Source organism: Homo sapiens, chromosome X (assembly GCF_000001405.40).
Source record: "Homo sapiens chromosome X, GRCh38.p14 Primary Assembly".
In the NCBI taxonomy this organism is placed as follows: domain Eukaryota; kingdom Metazoa; phylum Chordata; class Mammalia; order Primates; family Hominidae; genus Homo; species Homo sapiens.
In genome coordinates, this window is record NC_000023.11 from 68,667,533 (window position 1) to 68,694,599 (window position 27,067).

Consider the following 27,067-nt stretch of genomic DNA (forward strand, 5'->3'; position numbering starts at 1 on the left):
AATTCAAGAGGTACAAAAATACAAAGTCTCTTCTCACCCCAAGTCCCCAACCACCCAGCAGTCCTCTTAGAGGTGATCAGTGTTAGCAGCTTCTTGGCCCTCGATGAGTTTAGAAGGTCTGAATCAAGTGAGCTGTGCTAGATGGGACTGCGATGGGGGCTGGCACTGCCTGACTGGCCTGGGGGTGGGGCTGAGGGGAGCTGCAGAAAGGGTCATGGAGCAGGAATCTCGGGGCAGGAAATATGGGGTGGTAGAATCAGCATTCTTTTGGGACCCAGTCTTGACTGTGCCACTCGTGGTGGAATGATAACAAGTAAGAGGCTTCCCCTCTCCGAACCTCAATGTTCTCATCTGTACATTGAGCCTGCCCCATTCTCCTAAGCCATTTCTCCCAAGTGTGACCAGAGCAGAACAGAAGTGGTAGAGGAGAGGACCAGCCAGGGACTTTTTAGTGACAAAAAAGCCAAAATACTGACTCTGGGCTGACAGTTGTATATAATAATTTCCCTCTTTCTCTCTCTTTCTTTTCTTTCTTTCTTTCTTTCTTTCTTTCTTTCTTTCTTTCTTTCTTTCTTTCTTTCTGTCTTTCTTTCTTTCTTTCTCTTTCTTTTCTTTCTTTCTTCTTTCTCCTTCTCTTTCTCCTTCCTTCCTACCTACCCTTCCTTCCTTCCTTCCCTCCTCCTTCTTCTTTCTCTTTTTTCTCCTCTTTCTTTCTTTCTTTCTTTCTTTCTTTCTTTCTTTCTCTTTCTTTCTTTCTTTCTTTCTTTCTTCTTTTTTTCTTTCCTTCCTTCCTTCCTTCCTTTTTTTTTCTATGAGACACGGTCTCTGTCACTCAGGCTGAAGCGCAGTGGTGCAGCATAGCTCACTGCGGCCTTAATCTTCTGGGCTTAAGGGATCCTCTCACTTCAGCCTCCTTCCTCAATAGCTGGGACTACAGGGGTGCATCGCCACGCCCAGCTCATCTTCCTTCTATTAGGATGAATCAAGCAAAGATTTATCTGACACATCATTGCTTTTGTTCTAGTGGTCCCACTGACAGAGGAAACCTTGTAAGGGCTGTCACAGGATCACTTGGTACCACCTTATAGGAGAGCATTAGGAATGTCCAACTGGCTTCAACACATGTGGTGCTGCCCAGGCCCAAAAGAATGACCTGAATTACCTTTGAAGTCCCTGCTATCACAGTCCAAGAAGCCACTAGCACAGTGTTTCCCAAATGTCACTTATTTGTGAACCAACTTCAGAATTTTTGCCATCACATCATCCATGCCATTAAGTACTTAATATTTTTCTTTAAATCAACCTGATTTTAAATAATAACCTCACCCTAAGCCATAATATCTATGAAATTAGGTTTTGAGGCACTAGTTACATTTTTCCTAATATGTAGTAAATTAAATATATATCATGATGCAGATGCCAATGTACCACCCCAAATCATCCTATGCCAACATATATATCAAACACTGAGAAACACAGAGCTAGCGGTAGTAAAACCAGCAGCTCAGGAGGAGGTTCAGGCCTTAGGGACTCACTCCAAGACATGCTACATGCTCTCAGGCTCCCAGCATCACTTCATATTTCTTCCAGACCCACACACCCTGTTGCTTGAGCACAAATTGCTCCTAAGATGGAAAGGTCCTGGAGCCTAAAAGGAACCCGCTTCCTCCAAATAAAACCCACAATTCAAAACTGCCTCTTAAGTGCTGAAGTGAGAATACTTGATTGGGGCCGGAAGCTCCAGGTTCCAGTTTTGGCTGTGACCTTTGCCAGCTGTGTGTCCTTGGGCCTCTCGCTTTCCCTCTCTGGGCCTTAGTGTCTCTAACTATAAAATGAATAGCTTGCTTTAAATGACCTCTAAGGTATCTTGCTGTTCTGAAATTCAATGACTCCTTGACTTACAAACCCCACACTCCGCGGAGCTCATTAGCTCGCTTACCAGCAGCCCACAGAGGTGAGGAGGCTGCTGACCTTCCCTCCCACCGCCTTTGCACCAAATCTTCCCCAAGGCCCCCTGCTCCCAGTGCACAAAGCTCCTTTTGTTGCCTGGAGCCATTCGGGGCTTCACTCCAGGCTCCTGCTGAAGTGGCTGAGGTGGCCTGGTGGGGTAATAGTTTGCCTGTAACAAGAGCCCCTGCTCGCAACCCAACTGGCTCCAGTCTGGCTGCAGGCTTGGCCTCAGCATCAGACTCATCCATCAGCTGCCCCAGACCCCTCCCCCAAGCTCTGAGGGGGCGGGGAGACAGATTTGAACAGTAGAAAATGGAAACAAATACATTTATTTAACATGCTATTGGGTGTCTGTCACCTCCAAGGCTCACAAGGGCAGTAGACAAAAATACTAAGCATATGAAAGTCATCAGAATAATAATAATTCAATCCACATCCTTTCTTTTGAAAATGACCAAATCATTTTTATAACGGAGTCTTGACAGATCTGGTCATTTAACATTTGTTATTTTACAAAGAACATTTGCAGGGCATGGCTTATCTAACATTTGACAGATATTTTACCCAGCAACTTGGAATAGTATAAAGATCTACTTAGTTAGGGAGCATCTGGAATTTATTATCATTTGAGACAGGAAATCTTTTAACCATGATCCACAGTGAATTCAGCCAAGGTAAAAATGCTGGGATGTGACTTGAGAGACCTAGGATCTAGTCTCGTCTCCATCATTAACTCCTTCTGCGACCTTGAGTTAGTCACCTCTGCCCCATGGGCCTCAGTTTCCTTGTCTGCAAAATGAGAATGTTGAACTAGAGGGTCTCAAGATTTTGATTTTGCACTCTGACCCCCTCTCCTCCAGAAGTCAGGCTGAAAGGAAGGGGAGGTGGGGGTAGGGTCAGTGGAAAGGGCAATTTCAAGGTGTTCTTTGGGATGGGGGGAAGGATTTCCAGGCCTGTGGAGGAGTGTAAGGGCTTCTTTTGTGGCCTAAGGGGCTGGGAAGCCCAGGTTCTCAGTTGCTGTTTTCAAGAGTGCAAGACAGAATTAGGTCTAGGTTTAGAGAGTCAGGTCAGGTACATCTCCCTAGGTATAGCCTAGATGACCATTTTCACAGTGTAGGCCACTCCAAATCAGGAGCTGGAGAGGGCATGGGAACTTCAGGTGGAAAGACAGGTCTGAAAAGGACCTGGGAAGTGCTACTGGACACTTCCACCAGAAGGTCCTGTGGATCCTTCAAACTCAACACTAAAGATCATAATTCTTTATCATTTCTCTGGAAACCTCCTCTTTCTCCAGAATCCGCTTTCTTGGTTAAAGCAGCCCCATGCACCCAGCCACTCCAGCAAGAGTCACGGGCGTTACCTGGACTCCATTTTTCTAATTTGCTGCCATTTAGTTGTGTGCATGGGACCTCTTCATAAGGCTTCCTAAATCTACCGCCTTTTCTTGTCACTCACACTAGCATAGCCCTCCATCTGGGCCCTAGCAGCTCTGGCCTTGATGGTTGCAACCGCTACCTAACTGGTCTTCCTGCCACCATGCTCGCCCTTCCAGTTCACCCTCCATGCTGCTGCCAAAGTTCTCTCTTTAAAAGAAAAACTTAGGCATCCTCAAAAATCTTTGGTCATTTCCTACCTTTGGTCAAAGTCCAACTTCTTTGCTCTGGCATTCAAGGTCTCTCAAGCTTAGACAGCCTATCTTTCTTGCTTCCTTTCCCACCTCGTTCCTATATTTCTGAGCCCCATGGGACAACTTGCTATTTCCTAGACAGACAGTGAATTCTCATATTGGACTCTCCACTGAGTGTGTTGTTGCCAGCCCCCTTCTTGGCCTGTCAAGCCACACTCTGGCCTCCCTTTCCATCTTGTCCATAGCTATTACATTATAAAACATCACACTGTTCTGCATTGGCCTCTTTTCTTTCCTGTCTCTCCCATAGACCATGAGCTCTTGGTGTACAATGGCTATATCTGACTGACCCCTGGATTCCCAGAACTAAGCATAAGGTCTCACATAAACAATGAGTCTGCCAAGAACTGGCTTTTATTTTTGATGGCATAGCAAAAGAACTTCTGGTAATCAGACTGGTGACTTCTTCCTTTCAGCAGACTTTCTTCCCTATCATTTCAGCTCTGAACTAGCTATTACAGATCAACATAGAGCCCCACTGGCTCCAGATGACAAAACCTCTTGAGACAGGGCCTTAAGGATCCAGTGGTTCCAGCCAATGGTGCAGATCCGTGTAAAACACATTTTCACCAAACTCTTGAAATTTGGAGGTCGCCCACATCTCAAGGCAGGAAGGGCACTTAAGGACTATATTAACCCATGCTTTTGAAACTGAGTACTGAGGAGCCCTAGTGTCCCCTAGTGTCTTAGGGGACATGAAAGGAAGACAGAGTTATGGGATATCTCATTCCTGCTTCATTCAACTAAACCTATTTGACTTTTTGAAGTTTCCATGAACATTTCATTTGGAGACTGGAGTTGGCGGCATTAAAGTTTCATTTGGAGACTGTAGTTGGCTGCATTAAATGTTGGCGATCATAGCTCGAATCTGGTGTTCAATTTTCCCTTTTTTACCTTTCCTGCTACATGCCCAACTTGAGCTTTGACCAAACTCCTCAGGTATGGTGAAGCATCCTTTTTCATTCTATACTGTTAAAAGTTCTTTATATTGAGCCAGAATCTGCCTTACAACAACTTCCACCCAGTGGTCCTATTTTCACCCCTTGGAAGTAGTGTGTTCCTTCTTCCTTAAGGCCAATCTGCTGTCATTTAGAATCTCCCAAAGTCTAAGGTAGGAGAGATCTTATAGCTCATACAGTCCAATGTTCTCGTTGCAGCTGGGGAATGAAGCCCAGAGAAACTAAGTGATCTGCACAACAGCATAGAGCTAGTTGGCAGCAAAACTGAGACTAGAACCCAAGTCTCTACTCATCTATAATGCGCTCCCCAGAATCTGTCCTTTCCTAGCTCCTAAAATCGTTTCTCACAGTCCTGATCACTCTTCACTACACGTACTCCTGACTGACAGTGACCAATGGCTGAAGATCAGCAGCTGAGCTTGTGAAAGCTCCATGGCTCCCAAGCCTTGGTCTGCCTGGGGAGAAGGCAGAGACAAAGCAGAACAAACTGGTGTCAGAAGCAGAGCCGTTCCCTCACCACAGCCTGAAAGTCATTCTCCTCATCCTTCTCTTCTTTCCATAAAACTAAATTCCATTCAAACAGCGCCCCACCCCCCATGGCAGGGCAGCCAAGGGGCAGCTTTCAGAGGCCCCTTCTGACCTGTTTGCTAAAGGGTTCCTGCTGTGTGACCTTCCACATCCCAAGCCCAGAAACAGGAAGAGTTAGTTTGGTTTGCTTTTTGGGAAGAAAAATGAAAACATAGGAAGTAGGGCTCCTGAGAACAGAGGCTTCCAACTCTGTGTTCATTTGTCCCTGGAGCAGGATATTTCAGGGAATACATTCCACAGGGGAAGGGAACAGCCTCCCTTATTAAAAACAAAACACAAAACCCTTCAAGGTTTGGAAAAAGAAAAAGGCCAAAAGGAGACTTTTAAGGAGGGGAGGGGCAATTGTTTTATAATCTCCAGCCCTTCACCCCCTTGGCCACTTGGAGCTGTCATACTTTGATCTCACTACCATTATCAGCACATCTGTTGCCCAGAGATGTCCTGCTCCCTTTAACCTATGGCCCAAGAAAGAGTCCAAGTCTCCTTTCTTGTTTCCCTGAGGATGACCGAAGTAGGCTGGCACTCAGAATCTTCAATTAAAACCAAGAAAAAACAGACAGTAATTAATTACACAATGCACAAACAGCAGAACAACATTCAGGCCTTGCCAAGTACATGCTTTTTGTTTTAAGAAGCCCAGCAAAAGCAGGGAAGTGCTTTGTCAGTCCCCAAATATCTCCCAGGATAACTATTTCATCGTCCCAGATACGCTGCCATAAGTTTGCCTGGCTTTTTCCTCCCTCAGCTGTCAGTCACTGGGAGGCAGATGCCATCTTGTTTCCCTACTACTGTTGCTAGAAGGGCAATGCAACAGGTCTTTTACCAAAAACAACAACAACAACAACAAAACAACCTTCCAGAACCCCTACTGTTCTTTTCAGTTCTAGTTTCTGGGCTGAGGAACATGGTTAGTTCACAGATAGTTGCCAGGGTAAAAGTGTGGATCATTTTGGGGTGCCAAAGAAACATATAGCCCTGGAAGGAAACCAGCTCTGCCTACAATCTGGAGCTTCTACAGGTACACATGTACATGTGTCACATGTGTAGTGTGCAAACACACACATAGTCTATTTACCAAAATTTTAGTTTCATGGAATAACAAGGCCTTCACCATACAAAAACATACCATTGTCTCCCCTGAGGTTATGGGTAAGCAGAACCTCTTCCTAGAAGATGCTTCCAAGAGCATCTGCCTAGAATGGCTTGTTTTTTTCCAAAAAGATCTGGAGGCAAAATTTTCATATTAAAACAAGCATATAATTGTTGTGGAATAGCATAAAAAATTCACATGAATTACCTGGGCATGATGGCTCACACCTGTAATCCCAGCACTTTGGGAGGCCAAGGCGGGTGGATCACCTGAAGTCAGGAGTTCGAGACCAGCCTGACCAACATGGTGAAACCCCGTCTCTACTAAAAATACAAAAATTAGCTAAGTGTGGTGGTGGGTGCCTGTAATCCCAGCTACTCGGGAGGCTGAGGCGGGAGAATCGCTTGAACACAGAGGCGGAGGTTGCAGTGAGCCGAGATCGCACCATTGCCCTGCAGCCTGGGCGACAAGAGCAAAACTCCGTCTCAAAAAAAAAAAAAAAAAAAAATTCACATGAATTCATAAGATAAAAGTGGAGACTTGAAAAAAAATTCTCACTTGTGGTTGGCTGTGTGAGATTCTCCTCCAGCTCCTCGGGCCTCTGTGGGGAATAAATTCTTTCTGTTCATTGGAGGTACTTTGGGGATGCAAAAGTCTGAGAGCCACAAAGTAAAACAGTAGGCTCCTTGAGGGTAGAAACGTCTCATTTTTCTCTGTATCCTCACATCTGAAACAGAGCCAGCCACAGAGTGCTTGGGAACTATTTGCTCCATTCATGCATCCATCCATCCATCCATTCATCTATCTATCCATCCTTACCAAGAAACAAGCAAAAAAGGTAGCCTTAGAGTGGTGGAAAGAATACAGTTTCTGGAAAATTCATAAACCTCTGGGTCTGAATTCTGACTCTGTCACTTATTAGCCTCAGTTTTCATCACGTCTCTAAGCCTCAGTTTTCTCAGGTTTTTTTTTTTGTTGTTGTTGTTGTTGTTTTGAGATGGAGTCTTGCTCTGTTGCCCAGGCTGGAGTGCAGTGGTGCAATCTTGGCTCCCTGCAACCTCCACCTCCTGGGTTTAGTTGATTCTCCCACCTTAGCCTCCCAAGTAGCTGGGATTACAGGCACGCACCACCATGCCCGGCTAATTTTTGTATTTTTTTTTTTTTTTTGAGATGGAGTTTCGCTCTTGTTGCCCAGGCTGGAGTGCAATGATGAGATCTCGGCTCACTGCAACCTCCGCCTCCCGGGTTCAAGCGATTCTCCTGCCTCAGCCTCCCCGAGTAGCTAGGATTACACACATGCACCACCATGCCTGGCTAATTTTTGTATTTTTAGTTGAGACGGGGTTTCACCATGTTGGCCAGGCTGATCTCGAACTCTTGACCTCAGGTGATCCGCCTGCCTCGGCCTCCCAAAGCGCTGGGATTACAGGCGTGAGGCACTGCTCCCAGCCTAATTTTTGTATTTTTAGTAGAGACAGCGTTTTGCCATGTTGGCCAGGCTGGTCTCGAACTCCTGACCTCAGGTGATCCACCCGTCTCAGCTTCCCAAAGTGCTTGGATTGCAGGGATGAGCCACCATGCCTTGCCCTAGTTTTCTCAGTTTTAAAATAAGAATCCAAATACCCAACTCCTGAGTTGATGTGGGACCTTAAGTGTGATAATGGGAGTGGGAGTGCTCTATAAGATCCCAGACAATACAGAAATTATAGTTATTTCATGACTATCAAATTACCACCATGACTAGCCCAGACAGTAGTGGGGTGGGGGGAGGGGAAGATGTTTTCTCCAGCCAGAAGTCTGATTTGAGAATAAGAAAGCAGGAGCTGAGACCTCAGGAATGAGCCCCCGGGCCTCTGGGATGGAGAGGGCAGATGTTGAATCCTAGCTCCAGCTCCACCTCCACTCCAGGAAGGCAGTACGCAGGCCAGAGGGGAACTTGGGGTGGAGTGATGGAAGGATCAGATGTGCCTCATACACTTCAGGTCTCCAAAGACCAGATGTGCTTTCCTTCTCACGTCTGCCAATAAGCCCCTTTGAGGCCCGGTTTGCAGCAAGGGTCATTCATCACTGGGGCTGAAATACAACCAGGCATAGTGTGTTGACTTGGCTGCTAACAGACTCTGCCTCCTTGGGTAAGTCCTTTTTCCTCTCTGGGCCCCAATTTCCCTATCATTAAAATGAAAGGATTGGATCGGGTTGTCCCTCAGGTCCTTTGAGCTCCTACACGCTGTATTTAAGACTTTTTTGGGCCTTGATTTTCTAAAAATGTGAACAATGTGATTTGCCAAAAATATAATTGGTCTGATCATCTGATAGTTGGACACTGAATCATGGATGGGTGAAAAAGTTCAAAGCAATTGTGGGGCAGGAGACGGGCCTGGCTGGGGCCCTCTTCTGTTTTTAAGTCTGCTGGTTCCTGTGGCTCCTTCTGTACGTGTCTGTGTCTGGCCAAACTGGCCCGGCTCGCCTGAAAATCTCAGAGCAAGCCAAGGTTGTAGCCCAGGTAGATGGCTTGTGGATACAGCAGGTGTTTCCCAAGCCCTGGGATCCGGCTCAGGTACCTCACAAGATAAAATGAGGAAAGGAAAGAAAACAGGAAATCCTACCCACTATATGCAACTAATTGTTTAGGAAGAATTCCTTCTAGGCAAGCCCGTTGTCTCAGAAGTCAGCAACAGCTGCTGGGTTGGAATGGCTAACTTGTGCAATCTCTGAGATTCTTAGGCTCCCCCCAAACCCCGTCTCAACCTGTTTAGCCCTCTGCCATTCTCTGAAGCTCAGCTCAAATACTGTTCCCTCCCACTTTCAAATCCCCATCATACTGTATATCTGTCTTATAGCATGAATCATGCCTTGTGTTTTGAGCTATTTCCTTTCACCTATGGATTAAAAATAAAATACATGTTCTGAGTGAAAATTCCAACCTATAATCTTTCACTCTCACTTTCCAGAGTTAGCCGCTCTGAAAAGGTTGTTGTTTTTTGTTTGTTTGTTTGTTTGTTTTATTTGTTTTTCCTTTCCAGAAATCTTCTATTGCCAAAGCTATTGAAAATGTGAGGTTGGGCTTGGTGACTTATGCCTGTAATCCCAGCAATTTGGGAGGCCAAGGTGGGAGGATCATTTGTGTCCAGGAGTTTGAGACCAGCCTGGGCAACATAGGGAGACCCCGCCCCTACCAAAAAAAAAAAAATTAGCCAGGTGTGGTGGTACATGCCTGTAGTCCCAGGTACTCAGGAAGCTGAGGTGGGAGGATGGCTTGAGCCTGGGAGGTTGAGGCTGCAGTGGGCCGTGATCGTGGCACTGCACTCCAGCCTGGGTGACAGAGTGAGACCCTGTCTCAAAAAAATTAAAAAAAAAAGTTTTGAACAGAGCGTTGGCTCTGGAGTCTAAGCACTTAGATTTAAGTCTCAGCTCTCTGCTTGTTGGTCAGATCAGCTTCAGCAAATTCTATCACCCCTTTGACCCTCAGTTGTCTGCTCTGTAAATGGGATAGACATGTCCTCTTCTCCTGTCTCACAGGGTTGGTGTAAGGGCCAAATAAGAAAAGAGATTGAAAGCACCTTGGAAACTGTAAGGGGGGCCCTATTTATCTCCATGCTTGTCACTGCAACTTGACTGTAAGCATCTTTGAAACAGAAACTTGGCCCCTCGAGGGCTGTGTCCCCATTGCCTCTTGTTCCAGTTTGTCCAGAATGGGAAGGTGGTGATGCCGGGGGTATGGAACTGAATCCCCAGAGTCGTGCTACACCTGGAGATGCTGATGCTCTGCTCCTGCCCTGGTTCTGGGTACACAGCTACTTGACCTTCCTTTGAAGCCAAACCCAGCTGAGAGGACCATTTTTCTAAAGTTACTTGGCTTGCAAAATGCTGCTCCTCCACCAAGTGGGCACTGGCCCAGCCTCACTGCCCCAGTGTGCTTTCATTACTTTGAAAATTCTGCAACTCTTGTTTCACCCCCTCTACCTCCTTCAGCTCCTAGTTCCTCAGATTCTGGCTCCAAGTAATGATTTCAAAGTTCCCCATGCCCCCCACCCACCCCCCCAATGTATGATACATATATATAGAGAGAGAGGAAGTAGAAAGATGTGGCCAAGAAAATTCAATTTTCTGAATGGATCAGATGTAAAACTGTTGGAAATTACAGCTAGAAAGCTCTGCAGATAGCATTTAGTCCAACCTGCATCACTCCCCTTCAACCTTTGACAGAAGGGAAACTGAGACCCAGAAAAGGGAAGGGACTTATGCAGGGAATTTGCGGCTCTGACCTCCAAGTAAAGGTGGGAAGGGGCGAGACTCTGCAATTTACCAATGCACCGCTGAAAGGGTTAAAGTCAAGGAAACTAGCCTGGGGAAGGTGGGTGGGGTCAAAGAAGAGATGAGTGTGGCCAGAGAAGGGAGGATCAATCAGGAGAAACAGTCAGGACCAGCTGCAAAATTCCCCTGGAAAGTGGAAATAGAAGAAATATGAGGGTTGTGGTTTAGCAAGTTATTATGAGCCTTGCTGGGCAAAGAGAGGGAAGAGAGAGGAAGAGAAAAGTAGAGGGGGCCCAAAGAGGAGTAAAAAGGGAAGGAGGAAGGCCAAACCAGACGAATGGAGGAGTTTGAGAGTGATAGGGTCAGTGAGTGCTTAAACACAGCAAATCAGTAGAGTCCTGTCCCATGTGGGGCATCCAGCTACCTTATAAGTTACCACTAGCTCTGCTGCCTGGTTTCTTCTTCTAGGCTCTGAGCACATGAGCCAGTCCTTACTTTCTTAGCAAACTCAGCCCTTTTCCACTGTCCACTGTTTGGAGAGGCAGTTCCAGACTGTAGGCTTTTTACTTCAGTAGAGTTGGCACACCAACACAAGGGCACTGTGCAGCCTGGCCTGGCTGCCAGAGCAGGCTCTAGATCCCCCACTCCACAGTCATGATCTGATTTTAGTCACACAGTCATACTATGAGTTGAACTCAGCCCATTTTACAGATGAGAGGTGCAATAATTTTCAAATGAAAACAACAACAATAAGAATAAACCTAAGTATATACTGGGAAACAATACACGTACTGATTAAGAATGAGAGTGCTGGAGACAAACGGCCTGTATTCAGATCCCCATTTTGCCCCTCATTAGTTGTGTGATCTTGGACAGGTTGCCAAATTTCTCTGTGCAGGTTTGGAAGGATCAAATGAGTTGATCCAAGTATACAACCTTTGAACAATGCCTGGCACATAGTCGGTGCTCAATAAATGGCGACTATTCTTGCCATTGTCATTAGTATGTGCCAGATGCTGTTTTAAGTGTTTTATCTGTATTATGTCATGCAATCATCACTCACAAGGTAACTGAGGCTCAAGTGCAAGAAGAATATATCTGGTTCATTGGCTTTTAAAACTTCGTTAGATGCAGACTTCTACCCCCCAAAATTGAATCCTATGTGACACCCCAATATATAAAACAAAACAAATAAAAACAGCATGGCTCTGATTGAAGCAAGGTGGGGTAGGGGTGGGACTTGGAGACTCCTGGCTCAGTGTTCCCTGTTCTCCCCTCCCCCAGCCTCCCTATGATAGGCTTTGAGGCTCTTCCCCACCCACTGATCTAGTCCATCTAAACTTTTTATGCTCAGATAAAGACATTGTAACTCTGAGAGAGCAAATAACATGCCCAAGGTTAAACAACAAGTCAAAGGCAGAGTGGGGTACCAGGCATGAAGGGACAATCACTTGGTCAAAGAGAACAGCCCCCTTGGTTAAACTAGAACACAGAACATCCCAAGCTTGGGCAAAGAAGAGCTAGGAAAGGAGAGTGAGCAGGAGGGAAGGGGGATCCCCGATGTGAGCAGCCCCACTGACTATTCATATGCTGCTGGGGCCATGCAGACGTCAAGATGAGACAAAGCCCTATCCACATGGGGCCTCTCATTGCACAGGGTTTGGGGTTCTGTTGTGACAAGGGATGTAGCCTCCTCTCTCTTAGGTGTCTGTTCTGTGGGATGCAGCTGACTGGGGCCAAATCCCACCATCTAGGCCTTCCGATTGGGCTCCTGGCCTGAGCTGGCATTACCACAACTCCCCTTCTCCTCCAGGGTTCTGGGATGGCAGCTTGACTTCCAACCCATTGTTGTTGGGGTGGGGGAGGTAAGAGGGGTAGACTTGACGCTCCGCCCTTTTCACAGCTTCCATGTATGTGCACCCCTATCTGTTCAAGGCATGCCACTGCCAACACTGTTTATCTAAGAAACTGTGCGTCGCCAACTTTTGTCTCTAGGACTTTGGCATGGGTTACCTGGGGACACCGCCCTGAGGAGAAATTATAGGATAAATTTTTCCAGAGAACTTCTTCGAGAACTCAGGACTTCCCTGGAATCCCTTCTGACCTGATCTCGTGAGCTACTCAGGCTCCGTGCAAGCCTTGGAAGACAATCTGCAGGGCCGAGCAGGGGAGGGGCAAATGCTGGAAGACAAAGCTCAAGTGCAAGGCCCTGAGTTCCTTGCCTCTGTTTGGATGGGCTTCAGGATCTCCATCTGTCCCACGTGGGGCAGGCATGGATCAGATGCTCTCTGAGGACCCACCAGCTCCAGGCTGGGCTTGTGTGGAAGCCCTGACCACTCGGTGCTCTCTCAGGCACTGGCCTAGAATCCGAGGGGGACACACCAAGTGATGGAAACAAACAGGGCCCCTGGCTAGTCACAAGAGGGCAAGGATGAGGACACAGGAGGCAGAGTACTGACCTCCAAACTGCAAAACGCTCCTCTGACACCAAAGCAGCTTTTCTTTCTGGCAAGGCCAGTTTGCATGAATGGACAGAGCCCTGGAATCCTGAGCCAGACTGCAAGGCATGTGTTACTGTGTGTTGGTGCTGTGCCCTGCCAGGTGACAGGAAGAGGAAAAGGGGCTTATGCAAGCTCTGACTGAGGGGAAGGTGTGTGTACTAAGGCCAGGAAGTGGGGGTGGGGGCCGCTGTAGGTGGGCACTGTGACTACTTCCCAGATAAAGGCAGAAGGAATTAGTGAGCATCAGACCTGAGTGGCCTACGTGATACAAGGGCAAGAAGAAAGCAGCGAGGCAGGGTGAAGGGGTAAGTGGTGACTTTTCTGTTGACAAACACTTCTTTCCACCTAATAGTTCAGGGAGGTAGGTGTTACTGTCTCCATTTAACAAGTGAGGAAACTGAGGCTCAGAGGAGTTCTATGACATGTCATCTAGTAAGTGTTGAAGCTGATGTTCACATCTAAGGCTGTTTTGAGAGTTGCAGTTCTTAGGGGCCCCTTCTCTAGAGCTGGTAAAATGTGCACACATATACACTGTTTCTGCCATCCAGCAACCCTTCTAAGACTTGGCCGCAAAGGGCTAGGAATTATCCTTCCCATTTTACTAAAGCCCAGAAAAGGTGAATGATTGGGCCTTAGTCATCCATAGCAAGGTAGAGACAGGCAAAAGGCTGAGACTGGGGGGCCTTCTGATGGAAAGCTGCCGTACGCTGCTAGAAGTAGCACTCCCACTGTGGTTCCACCTGTGTCTGGTCATTTTCCACTTACGAAGTGCTCTCAAATCCATTATCTTGAGGTTTACAGGGCAGAAAAAAAAATCTTCCATTTTCTAGGTGAAGAAACTGAGCATCAGTTACTTGCCAAAGGTTACACAGCTACTGAATGGCAGAGTCAGGACTTGAGACCAGAGTTGTGTCCAAACTCCCCTTTACTTTTCTGCCAAGTGCATGTGGCCAGCAACGGAAGGACAGAGTAAGTTCACTGAAACATAATGTTTGAGACCAAAAGCAACAAACCCCAACTCCCTGGGGAGATATCTAAGCCCTTCTCTTTTTTCCATATGAACCTCTGAATTGCAGAGGCAGGCTTGCAGCCTTTGAAGGGGAAACAGAGAAGCCAATGAGCTCAGTTCTCCACAGCAGACTCCAAGAGCTGCTGGCTTTCATGGCTAACTAGATGCCTCATCGGCCCAATGGCTTTGTGGTCAGGGTGCCAGGGTTGGTCCAGCCACACCAATGGTGGGACTGGGGGAAGGTCTTCTCTCTCTTCCCCTCTCACCACCTGTGGTTGCATTTCATGCTTGGTCATTGAGTCATTTTTATGCTCTTTTCCTCAGTAACATGGGGGAAAGAAAACCTCAAATCTCTCAGCCACCATTTGGTTTGGTCAAGGTTGCTCCTGGGCTTTCCACTCACCCACCCACCTACTCACTTACTCTTCAATTTTTTTTTTTTTTTTCAGACAGAGTCTCGCTCTGTCACCCAGGCTGGAGTGCAGTGGCATGATCTCAGCTCACTGCAACCTCCGCCTCCCGGTTTCAAGTGATTCTCCTGCCTCAGACTCCCGAGTAGCTGGGACTACAGGCGCACACCACCACGCCTGGCTAATTTTTGTATTTTTAATAGAGATGGGGTTTCACCATGTTGGCCAGGCTGGTCTCAAACTCCTGACCTCAAGTGATCCGCCCACCTTGGCCTCCCAAAGTGCTGGGATTACAGGCGTGAAGCACTGCGCCCAGTGCATTCAATCTTTTAATGAATATCCTCTCAAGTGCTAATGCTGCGCCAAATCCCTTCCTGAGCAATGGATATGCCATTAATAATAAAATACAGCCCCTGGCTGAGAGAATTCAAACCCTTATTGGGCAGGAAGACATGGATAATTAAACTCGATATAGAATGATTGCTGATGTAACTGAGCTGTGGAGTCACCCAGAAAGGGAACACCTTATGCTATTCATAGGAGATACTGTACTAAACTGGTATGTTGGACTTTACCAAGTATAGGAGATAGGGCAAATAATTTAACCTCTTCATGTCTTCATTTCCTTATCTGTAAAATGGGATAATAGTACCTACAGGGTTTCTGTAAGGACTTTATGAGTTAAAATGTGCAAAGAGCTGAGGATAGAGTCAGGCACATTGAAAGCACCATATAAATGTTTGTGAAATAAGTAAAGGAAATAAGGATGAGCATTCTTGTGAGAGAGAAGTGCACATGTAACACATTTGGTGGGTTAAGGAGGTGTGTTCTGGGAATGCCACCTGCGTTAACTGGGCAGTCTTGTGGGTGCTTTGAATGCCAGTCTTAGAAGTGTGGACTTGTCCCTGTAGGTGATGGGCAACCATTTCTAAAGCTAGATCTTTGCCACAGAGTGTGGCAGAGGACTCCTGTGTGAAATGCTAGTGCTGTATCCACCAGCTCAACAGGTGCTAGGCCCAAGAGACTGCCACCAGCCAGGAAACAGTCAGTTGCCAAATCTGAACGCTGGACCAGCCCTGTGCATGGCTCAGCCCCAGGATTAGCATCGATATAGGGAAAGGGGCAGCAGGGAGCCCCCTTGTCACTGCCCTCAAGGAGCTGATCTTCTAATTGGAATAAGGCCTGCTTCTGCCAATAATCAAATCAATCATCCTGGTGGGAAGTGGTGGAGGTAGGTAGGTAAGAGAAACTCCATGTGGCCTGAGAGGCAGTATGTACAGTGGTTACTAGCTAAAGCTGACAGTCCAAACTGTATGACCTTGGGCAAATTATTTAACCTCTCTATGCTACAGTTTTCCCATTGAAAATGGTAGCAATAATAATTCAGCTTATCATAGAGTTATATATGATGATTAAATCATATATAGAAAGTGCTTAGAATGCTGGCTCACATGACAAACACTCCATAAACCTTAGCTATTCTCAGTGACTAAGGGCCTATCTTTTACTGAACCAGGTGCCTGCTACCCCTGGGGTACAAGGCCATGGCCTGGAGGCATATGAAGGTATTAGACCGGTATGTCTCCTCTTCCTGGAGTGTACATTTTCCTCAAAGGCTTAAGGAAGGAAAAGATGAATTTTAATAAGAAAACAAGGATGCATACTAGAGTTAACTGAAAATTCAAGTGGATGTTTAAGATAAAAGCTGGACTTCAAAGACATTCCCACTTGGAGCCAACACTTCAGGTTTACATCATCAGCCCCCCAAGGTTTCATCACATTCTTCCCTCTCAGCCCTTAGGGGTACTTGAATACAAAAGTTACAGTAAAACAAACACTTGTGAATTCAAGTAACTCTCAAGGGGGTCCAATCATTCTCTGGGGGTAAGGATGATTACCACCGTTATATATGGGTGAAGATGGAGGCTCGAGGTCCCAATCCTGCCACTGCCACTTATGAGCAATTTGGATTACCTTTGCTGCTTCTGAGTTTCTCCAACTGTAAACTGGGGTAATGATGATGATATATATACTTCAGAGCATTGTGGTAAGAATTAAATAAGCACTTAGAACAATGTCTGGTATAGCTTGTGCTCAATCCACATCAGCTTTTATTAGATCCATTCTTGCATCTCCTCTCACAGCACCATTGTCAGCTATGTGTCATATTATGTCCATTATCTGGAGGAGAAACTTGAAGCTGTGGAGGTTCAGTAAGGTGCCCCCTCTCCTCCTCTTTGCTAACAGCAGGCATTCCTGCCTGGAGTGGGGAGGTGGTGGGAATAAATAACCTCGAAGGTCCTTCCCAGCAACAGGGCTCTGTGACTCAAGTGAATCTTCGGAGCTCTTTCATATCACTGTTCTGGCTGGAGCTGAAGCAGCAGAACTCAGGAAATAGGGGTGGGACTGGACAGGGCGGGAGATGCCTTAGCAGGGTGGGAAGTGACTGCTGCCGCCCTTCCTTCTAGGCCGCTGCCACTGCCGGGGGCTATGTCCCACACTCCCGCCCAACCGGAGAGCAAAAGGGAAACTCCTCTGCTTGGAGGAAGCTGACTGAGGCCTCCTTTTCCGCGGGCGGCGTGGGGGAGGGGGCTGCCCCTGTGAGAGGCGCAGTGCAGGGACTACTCGAAACTCAGGAGTCAACGGGGTGGCAGCAGAAAGCTGGGCCCAGAGAGGGGCATCCCAGTGGCTGTTTGTCCTGCCTGGGCTAGTCCAGAATGGGGACTGCTGATAGGCCAGAGGGTGCTGGGAGAGACGGGCTTCCCATTGATTTATGGTCATTTGAAGGGAAAAGGAAAATAATTCCATGAAGTAGAAATGGCCTAGTGGAAGGAGGAGCAGAGTCAGATCTGCCTTGGTTCTGAAACAAACTCACTGTGTGACCTTGGACAAGTCCTCTTCCCCACATGAAGAATGCATTCATTCAGTTAGTAAATATTTTGTGAACACCTGCTATGTGCCACCATTGCCCTGGGGAAAAGGGATGCATGGCATGAAGATCAACATGTTAACCTCTAATTTCCTTCTAGCTCTGACACTGAGTTCATGAAAAGTGGGTGCAAATATCATGCAAATAAGCACATATCAACTGGAAACTGCACTTCCTTTTTCTAGCTTATCCCTCACAAATGGAGTAGCTTAGCTCTAGATTCCAGGAACAAGGTATGGAGACAGTAGGGGGGAGGGGCTGTGACCTTCACCCATGTACCCCTTTATCGTTCACAAAGCACATTCATTATTCCCATCGTGTCATAGGAATATTACCCTCATTTTACAGATGAGGAAACTGAGTCTCAGAGAGGAGAAATCACCCAGGTTATGCCACAGTTAGAGCAGAGGCCCTATTAGGATGTTGGTCCCTTTACTGGCCACCAACAGAAGTAGAATGGAAATGACCTGGTCTGAGAGCTGTTGGTAACTTTTGGCCTTATCTCCATTGAAAACAAATTTAACCAGGACCCCCCACCATCCCCAAGTCAGGTAATGCAAGTTTGCTTGCGGTGGTGGGGATTGCGTATTAGAAAAAACGGTTATGTACCTTAGAGTCCTAGTCCAGGCTTTTTTTGTGGTACACGCCAGGGGCTAAACTCTTTGAAAATAAAAGCTAATCTTTCTTAATGAAGTCTATACTCCGTGCCAGGCACCATGATCAGTCCTTCAGATCCTTACAACAGTCCTGCAACATAGAGATAACTGCCCCGGCCTAGATGATGGCCAAGTCATTTGCATTCTTGGGCCTCAGTTTTCCATCTGTAACATAAGGGAGTCTATAAGGACTGATTCCACTTCAGGATATTCTGGTACTAGAAAGATTTCAAAGTGTCGTTGGTGGAACCCAGCTGGTCGGTTGCTCAGGCCAGCCAGTCAGAGAATGTGGTTGCAGGGAGGAGTGAAAAGCAGGGGGCGGTAAAGGGAGGCCGAGGAGTGAGTCAGTCTGTCAAGATGGCCAGAGCCATTGTTTCCTTCTCCATCTGGCTGTTGCACAAGGCCTTCCTCCATGTCACATGGTTGGTGAGATTTGGGGGCAGACAGGAGGTGGAGGGGCTGACCCCATAACTAGGAAGACACCCCCACTATCTTGCACCGAGGTATGAGAACAGAAAGGAGAGGAATCAGTGGAGGGAAAACTCGCAGATGGGGGCCAAGTTGGAAAAGTCTGGAAAGAAGGTGACTCCAACCTGGAAGAAGGCTTCCTATGGTGATGGGGAGGCGGAATAGTTGAGTAGATGACTGGAGGCTAGAGAAGGGGGAGTTCCTGCTCAAGGTGGGGGCGTGGAACTTTCTAATTGCGACTGAGGGGGCGGGGAAACACAGCCATCATCCGCTCAGCCCCTCCCTCCCCGGGCTCCCCGCGGATTCGCTCAGTCCCGGGGCAAAACTACCCGAGGCGCCAGCACTCCGGCTCGCCAGCTCGCTCTTGGGCTGCTTAGCCGCCTGGCACCGCGCGGCGCCCGCGGACACATGGCCCAGGCGCGGGGCTGGGGTCCGGCGTTGCGGTTCCCGAAGCCACGGACGTGGACTCCGTGGGGTGTGGAGGGCACCCGGTGGTACGCGCCGCGCTGGGATCCAGGTGAACTGAGAGCCAGGCAGCCCCAGGCGGGGAGGTCAGGGCTGAGCTGCGCTTCGCGGAGAGCTTCCCGCACCGGCTCTTCGAAGCTCCCTGCTCCCTCTGCCTCCTTGTTTGGTTCCAGCCCGGTTTTCATCGTTGAGTCCTATGTCCATTTGTCTAAAACCTCACCCCTGGCCGGCAGTGCCCCCTTTTGAGGCTTTCCACCCCGCACGCCTTCTTTCTTCTAATTCTTAGGCAGCTCTTGCCCCGCCCTATGGGTGCCCCATCCTCTTATCCCAGCAGTCTATCCGGCTTCGTCCCCACCCACCTCTGTCTACATCCTCCGCTCAAAAAGAACACCACTTTGGTTACTAACACGTGGTAGGCGTTCAGTAAACAGTATGTCCCTTTACACCCATTCCTCCAGCACCTTCTTCGTCTCTGCCTTTGGTGTCTGCTTGTTCACCCTCCTGTCTTCCTGTCCCACTATATGTCTAAACCTCAACCTGTATTTTTTCCTTGTCATTGAGTTGTCCGTCTGTCCTTTCATCCTTTTATTTTTATTTATTTATTTATTTTTTGGTCTCCAGATCGTTAAGTGTTATCACCTACACAGTAGCTCCCTACATCCCCCTATCACTCCAAGGGCCTCTTACCTTCCCACTCTGTACCCCAGGTGCAGGACACAGCCCAGCAACCCTGGTAGCACCTTTATAATCAACTCGCATTGCCTGGGAGCTCCAAACCAAGGAATGGGTCTCTGAGGGATCTCCCAAAGTCTCTGGCATTTTGTCTTTTTAAAAATTGAAAAAAAAGTTTTGGGGTACTTATATTTCCAGGCTACTACTTCTGAGTAATTGTTATACTCACTCACTCTCTCTCGAGACTCGAACTTCTGAGCTCAAACAACCCTCCCTCCTCAGTCTCCAAAGTAGCTGGGATTATTGCACCCAGCTCTAATTCGCTCTTGATTCCACTTAAAGGGCAGGGAGGAAATAGCAAACTGGGTTGGGTTTCTCACCATAGATTTAACATGGAATTGAACACGCTGAAACACAGGATCCTTGGAGATTCTGAGAACAGACTCTCTGATTGTACTTATGGGGACACTGAGAGCCAGAGAGGGCAAGACTCTCAGCCAGGTCACACAGTTCCTCCGTGGTAGAAACAAAGTAGAAGCCAGAGTGACAGTTGCCTGGCCCTGACCCAGGAGCCTTGGGTGTTGGGGGCCAGGATCATTTCCTTGGGGGCCTGTCCATATAGAGTCATCAGGTCCCATCCACCCCGGAAGCCTGGCTGCCCCTCCCTCCCTGTCCTCTGGGAACTGACCTGGCTACCCACCTGCCTGGGATGGGCGTTCTCTGTCAGGGGCTGCCATTGCCTCCCCCACTGACATGGGAGCTCCAGGAAGGCAGGTACCCAGGCTGTGGGCCTGCCCGCCCCACTCTCTGACCCTGTCCCTTGCCCAGTGCCCGGCACAGACAAGGTCTGGGTAACCATGTTATGGGAATGGCTGATGCATGTGTGTGGGGAAGTTCCAGCCCTGGCTGAGGGCAAATCAGAACTCCTGCTTAGTAAGTGTGTATGTATGGAGGGGAAAGGGGGGAGCTGTGCTTGAGGAAAGGCCTGTTGAGAGGGTAGACGAGCTCCAAGGCCAAGTTGAGCCCAGAGCCCTTTGCTGAGTGGCCCTCAACCAACCAAACACATCCCATGCCCTCTCCGATGTCATCCTGGGGCCTCTGAGGGCTGCCCTTCAAGGTCAGGAGACAGGGGGGTGGTTGGCCAGGGACAGGCTCAGCCAGCCTGAATTGACATTGTCAAGCCCTAGAGACCCCTCTTCACAGGGCTGGGCTGGGCCAGGCTGGGGGCAGGGCGTATAAAAGCCACACACCACTCCACAAGCAGCCCTCCAGCTTCCAGGGCGCCACGTCTGGTGGCAGTGTGGGGTCAGGCCGTGGCAGCTGACGATGGAACCTGTGAATGGGAAGGAAGAGCCTCTCTTTCTGCTTCCCCGGCTCCTCCTCGCCTTCCCAGGTTTTTTCTTTGGGAGCTGCAGCCCTGGAGGGACACTGGAAAGGATCCCAGACAAGGAGGTAGGATCCTGAGGGCTGTTCAAGGACTCTGGATACCCATAGCCCCAAGGTGAGCTGGGAGCAACGCTGGGGGCAAAGACCAGGGCTCCAGGAGTGGGGCAGCTTAGCCTCAGCCCTCCCCTTCCCTGCCTTTCCCCCAGGCTCCCCACCCTTCCTTTTTCTCACTTTCCTCCCCTGGCCCCAGGTACCCCCCATCCTCAGAGGACCATCATGCCACCCCCACCCCCGTGCTCTGCAGAAGCCCTGTGCATGCTGGACTTGCAGATGCCCCACCCCCATGGGAACACACAGAGCAGCTCACAGAAGCAGAGCGTTCTGGAAGGAAGGGACCCTAGAACCAGGGCCCACCCCATTTTTTCCAGATGAGGAAAGTGGGCCTAGCCAGGGAGAAGCAAGCTCCAGGGCTGAGGACTGAGACTAAGCTGGGCAGAGGGGAGCACTCCTGTCCTCGCCTGTTGTGTGTGGGGTGTGGGGCTGTGTCAGAGGCAGGCTTGCCTTTGCTCATCTCCTCTCTGCATGTTGTGACCTTTGGAATCTGGAGGGCAGGAATGGGGTGGGGCACCGGGGTGGACATCCTGCTCTGGGCGTCTGTGCCACTACGGTCACCAAGTGCTCTGTCCACGGTGACCCCATCTATTTGTTAGGGCTGGGCAGGCAGACCTCCCCGAGGCGTTAGTGGGGTGCTCCATCTGCCTGCAGCAGAAAACCTCTGGGGACCCTTTGAGATGGGCCAGTAAGGTCAGTCCGGAGACCCATCCTGGGTGTCAAATGGTACCTGTGGCACTGTCATGGCCCGGGGGGTCTACTGAGTGGATGCTGGGGCCCAGCCTTCCATCAGGCTGGCACATTGACTGGTGTTGGTTGAGGAGAGATGACAGGTCCCCGCGTATCTGGGAAAGAGCCAGGGCTGGGTTATCCAGCTCCACCTGCCCAGTCCAAGTGCCTGGAGGCAGTCATGAGCCGCCCCACACCTGTATGTCTGAGCTTAGGGAGGGCAAGGGCAGAGAGGTTAGGTGACCCCTGAATCTCCCCTGGCCTGGGCCTGGCTGGGCCTGTGCTCCAGAGTCCCTCACTGCCAGCCCAGGGCTCTGAGCTCAGCACAGAGCTCCTCCTTCCAGGGTGCTCTGGGGTGAGGCTGGAGGCAACCGTGATAGTCCCCTAGGCTGTGGGCTGAGAGGGGGTGCTCCTTCCAGGATGTAGCTTTCTGTCCTCTGTCCACACTTGGCAATGTATAGACAGTGAGGTGTTTGTGTGGCCCTCACCTTTTCAAACCCCTCCCCACCACTGTATTCCCTCTGTCCACATCTGCCTCTGCTTGGGCTGTCTTCTTAGTGCAAATCTCCCTCCTATGGCCATGGCTCCTCAGGAAGTTTTGTTTTGTTTTGTTTTGTTTTGTTTTGTTTGTTTGTTTGTTTTAATGAACCATGACTATCCTCTGTTTTGGGACCTGATCAATAGCCCCCTTTCATGAGGCTGGGCGGGGGCCCCAAGCCACCAGGGAGCAGGCTTCGTTGAGGCATGCGGGAATGTGCGTACAAGTGTCAGAGCCTGTGTGTGAGGCCACCGGTACTCATGTACTTGGTGGGGCTGGTCTGAGTGTAATTCATTTTCCCCTCACTGCTCCTACCCCTTTTCTAAAAACTTCCCAGCTGAATTCCCTGAAGTGATTTGCTGCGGTTTCTTTAGCTCCTATGGAAAAGAGTAGTAGAAGAGTCTATCTGGTTCCTTTTGGATATTAACCTAGCCATTCCAGAGTGGGGGCATGGGTCTGCCAGCAGCAGCTCGAGCAACTCCCATTCCCAGGCAGGCAGGGCGGGGGGACTGTTGGGAGTCCTCAGGTAGGCCCTTATTGGGACCCAAGGGTCTCAGAGTGAGGCTCAGGGGAATGGTATATGGAACTGCTCTTTGCCACAGCGTAGGAGAAAAGGGCTGATAGGTCCCCCAAAGGTTAGCTCTATAGCACCTTCAGTGTCATCCTGCCACCTGCCACAGTCCTTTACAGTATACTTTCACATTTATTGTCTCTACTCTACCCAGTGGGTATTATACTCTAGTCTTGTTATTTATAGGTGAAAAAACTGATGGCTGGGGTGGCACAATGACTTGTCCTGGGTGGCATAACAAGAAAGTGGTAGAACTGGGGCCAGCATTTAGCTCTACTAATTCCTAATCCAGGGCTCATTCTACTATTGCTCAGTGCTTCTCACCATATCTGACGCTTATAAGCACTTACTATGTGCCAGCCATCACTCTTAAGTGTTTACTTAGCCTAGTGGATCTGCTCTGCAGCCATTGAAGGTCAGGGTTGTGATGATCATCTACACTTTCCAGATGAGGAAACTGAGGCAGAGTCACACAGCTAGTAAGTAGCAGAGGCCATTTGTACCCAGGCCATCTTGCTCCAGTGTTCATTATACTCCCTCTTGTGGGGCTTACGTGGTCTGTGGGCATGGTAGAATGAGGAAAGCCCCATGCCTCGGGCACAGAAACACACACACACACGCACACACACACACGCACAAACATACACACAGAGACTTTTTCTTTTGCCAGGCCTTGGCCTGCTTCAAGCACTCTACATTCCCCTGCCTGATGACTGAGCTGGCATCCAAGGTAGCAACAGCAATGGTACTATAGGACACACAGGCAAGAGTGAGGGCTTGAGGAAAAGGGGAAGTCAAGAACCTAAAGCCTCCAGTTACCTCCACAGCCACTCAGGCTGCAACCTAGAAATGGGCCTGTGAAAAGATACTCTTTCTCATCCATTCCAGGCACTATTAATCCATGCAAGACTCAGGGGCAGGGAGCAGGGGTTGGCAGGGGTATTGAAGGGGATGAGCTATCTTTGCCCTGCTGAACAGGCTGAGCTCTCCTGGCCAGAATAAAAGAGGGAGATCAAAAAAGACCAAAAGAAATAGCCCTGATATCGCTTGGGCCATTTCAAAATGTCACAATGTGCATGGCAAATATCATGATTGTAGCTTACCCTGACAATTGTGTTCACTGTCATTCGACAAGCATTTTTATTGAACATCTACTCTATGCCAGGCACTGCGAAGTTCTCCTTCTAAGTATTTATAGCAGTGCCCCATTTTTTGGTAGTTTTCATACTATACCCTCCTCCTTTTTTGTTTCCTGGTTTGATGGCTTTTAAAAAAATACAGCTGGTGTCTCAGAACCCATGATATCTGATTCAGTTAAATGTATCTACTAAAAGATAAGTTGACTTTGCTCATTAGTCATATGATTGTCATTTATTTTTGGTTGTGCTTTGAATATCTTTCAACATTTGTTCATTCATTAACAAACAATAGTGAGGAAAGTACTGTAAGCACTGTGCTTGGTTTCCTGGAGTGGATGGAATTGGCTTTGACAAGGTTTCTTGCCCTTAGGGAAATGATAAAATCATTGCAGGACCCCACTTTTTGTCCTTTTTAGCACTGTGCACAGGCAAGATGCCTTTGGCTTCAACTCAGAGCCTTAAGGATGCTTACAATTGTTAAAGCCCAGCCTCAGGAAGGAGGTCATATCCCTTCCCACCCACCAGAAGGATTTTGCTTCTGGGAGTAACTTCTGGTGTGCAGGCCTCATCCATAGACCCACAGGGACTTGGCGCACCTTGAACAAATTGCTAGAGGATACGAGGGGCAGTCCTGCCATCAAGAGGAAAAGAGGGATACATGGGACACACAGTGGTGGTAGTGTCACTTTATCATTGCTCCTCTGACTCTCATCAGGGCCAGCAGGGAAGGAATGTGGGAGAATTTCAGTTTGGCCTAGTGAACTGAAAGCTAGACAGGAGAGGGGCACTTGGGGCTGGGTTAGGTCTGGCTCTGTCTTTCCCTGGGTGACCTTGATAAAGTTGCTGCCCTCAGAGACAGATATTTTTGCTCTCATCTGTATCAGATACTCTAACAAGCAAGTTAGATGGATGCAGTTCCTGCCTTCTAGGAATGGTGTGGAGAAAATAACCAGTGTACAGGTATTGACCCTGCCATGGATTTGCTGAGTAAATCATTTGAGGCCAGGAGTGTGAGACCAGCCTGGGCAACATAGCAAGACTTCAGCTCTACAAAAAATGTAAAAATTAGCTGAGCATGGTGGCACACACCTGTTATCCTAGCTACTCAGGAAGTTGAGGCAGGAGATTTTCTTGACCACAGGAGTTCCAGGCTGGGTAGCTTTAAGTGAGTCATGCTTAAAGTCTGCTCAGTTTCTGTCTTTGTAAATGTGAGGGATAGCAGTTGAACTGCATGAGGTCCTGGATACTCTCAGACCTGACTAATAGGAGTCCTCAATTCAACAATGAAATCAAGGTTGTGAACTTGTGTTGGACCCTTGTGATGAAAGGCCAGAGAGAAATCAAAGCCGAAGGCTCTTGTTTCTTACTGAATTTGAATGGACTTTCTGGTGGTGCTTACTATCAGAACTCCTGGAAGCCCTCCCCTGCCACGATTAATGTTCGTGCCCCAAATTTTCCATGCATTTCTCTGCGGAGGTAGAGTTCAGACTTGGGGTAGGGGACAGAAGCCTGGGGTATTGGGGAAGTTGCAGAGCCACTGGGGCCTGAGCAACGTAGGGATGGCAGCTTCCTGCTCAAATTCCTAATTATCTGGTTTTCCCCTACCAATTGGAGATTTCACTGAAGTTGTGTCTTCTGGACATCCCATAAATTATCCGAGCAAGTCACTGAACCCTCCCGGGCACATAGCATATGTGTTTAAATCCCCCAAACAGTGCCGGACTCATTCAGAACTCAATAAATATTAGCCTGTGTGCCTGGCCAAGTCACTGCTTGAGCCTCAGTCTTTGGGCTTGCACCTCCTCCCTGGCAGCGGTGTGACCGGAGGGAAAGGCAGCGGCGAGGGCCTTGGAGGACCTGCAGGCAGTGCCCCGCCCACCCAGATTTGGGTGACTTTCTGGCGAGTCCGGTGGGCCAGACTGCGCCCCCATTGGCCGAGGGGAGGTGGGCGGGGCGTCCCTACAGCCCTACTCGCCGACGCTCCCTCCCCACTTGAGCTGAGTGGACTCGGGTTGACAACGGCTAAGCAGCCGCGGCAGCTGCTCTTCTGGCTGGCACCGTCACCCCTGCCCGACCCCAGGCCCCGCGTGTGTCCCGGACGGAGCAGTCCCTCCTGGGCTCGCCTCCTGCCCGCTCGCTCTGTGTCAGCGCCCGAACCCAAAGGGGTGGACGCGGCCTCCAGGTAGGAGTCTGGGCGACGGCAGGGGGAGATCCAGACAAACGGGGGCGCCTGGGGCTCCCTCTCCCCGCTTTGCCTCTCTGGCGCGCTCCGGCTCGGCCCTTCTCCTAGCGGTTCCGCCGGGCGGCGTACGCAAGAGACAGGGAGGAAGCGAGCCGAGCCACCCCCGCCCCTGGGATTGGGGGGTCAGAATCGCCGAAATTGGGGGACCCCCGAGCGCGCCAGCCGCGCGTCTTCCAGCGAAGCCTCGCGAGTGGGGCGGTGGAAGGCAGCTGTCCGCCTGTTACCGCCGGGCCCGTGGGTCTCGCAGCCGTCGCTCTGGGGCTTTGGAGGGGCGTTGCAGCTGGCCGGGGGCGGCAGAGCTTCAGGCTCTGTTGCCGGGTCGCGCCAGATCTCCTGCCCTCTCCTTTCTCTGCTTTCGAGGGCATTTCCAGGAAGCCCCCGTCCGGCTGTATGGGTTTTCCCGTCGGCCACTGCCTCATTGCTTTCTCTCCTGAGAAATGCCCAGGACTTCTTGGTATTAAGATAGCTGCGGGGACCAAGCGAAAACGTTTGGACACGTCTCATCTTCATAGGCCTCATTTTCCCATAAAGTCCAAAATGGGTTTGGATTAGAGGAAAGGCTTTTAGTGGAAGTTTTTGGAATTTCCAAATTAGGTAGTGTGGGGTTCTCTCCACGTTCCTCCTGACACTTGTGAAAGTTGCGCGCTGAATTACGACTCAGGAAACTGGGGTTCAGCCAGTCCATGTGACCTTAGGCGAGTCATACTACTGTG

The 27,067-nt window shown here is 49.2% G+C and overlaps 1 protein-coding gene across 6 annotated transcripts in view, besides 3 other annotated features; it reads left to right on the forward strand.

The window, feature by feature from the left end:
• Positions 1-27,067, forward strand: part of STARD8 (StAR related lipid transfer domain containing 8) — a 78,171-nt gene that overhangs the window by 19,867 nt on the left and 31,237 nt on the right. For 2 of the 6 annotated variants that reach the window (XM_005262315.4, NM_001142504.3), the window contains exon 1: positions 26,107-26,294. The exons of 3 other annotated variants lie outside the window; for them this stretch is intronic. Coding sequence is in view for 1 of the 3 variants with exons in the window: in XM_011531069.4 (XP_011529371.2) it covers positions 18,910-19,018 (109 nt within the window). In the remaining 2 variants the exon portion in view is untranslated. Of the gene's footprint in view, positions 1-18,811; positions 19,019-26,106; positions 26,295-27,067 lie in introns of those variants that run through there. One more of the 6 variants, XM_011531069.4, reaches the window with a different exon arrangement.
• Positions 12,382-12,558: a silencer, noted in NCBI's record as "fragment chrX:67899756-67899932 (GRCh37/hg19 assembly coordinates)". NCBI's record gives its function as "represses an EF-1alpha promoter that drives an FKBP-Casp9 reporter gene in an ReSE screen in HepG2 liver carcinoma cells {active_cell/tissue: HepG2}" and the evidence as "EXISTENCE:reporter gene assay evidence [ECO:0000049][PMID:32094911]".
• Positions 12,801-13,301: an enhancer, noted in NCBI's record as "H3K4me1 hESC enhancer chrX:67900175-67900675 (GRCh37/hg19 assembly coordinates)". NCBI's record gives its function as "activates a minimal SCP1, AML or CMV promoter by ChIP-STARR-seq in naive H9 embryonic stem cells {active_cell/tissue: H9 hESC(naive)}" and the evidence as "EXISTENCE:reporter gene assay evidence [ECO:0000049][PMID:30033119]".
• Positions 26,031-26,220: a silencer, noted in NCBI's record as "silent region_20886". NCBI's record gives its function as "represses an Ori minimal core promoter by ATAC-STARR-seq in GM12878 lymphoblastoid cells {active_cell/tissue: GM12878}" and the evidence as "EXISTENCE:reporter gene assay evidence [ECO:0000049][PMID:35858748]".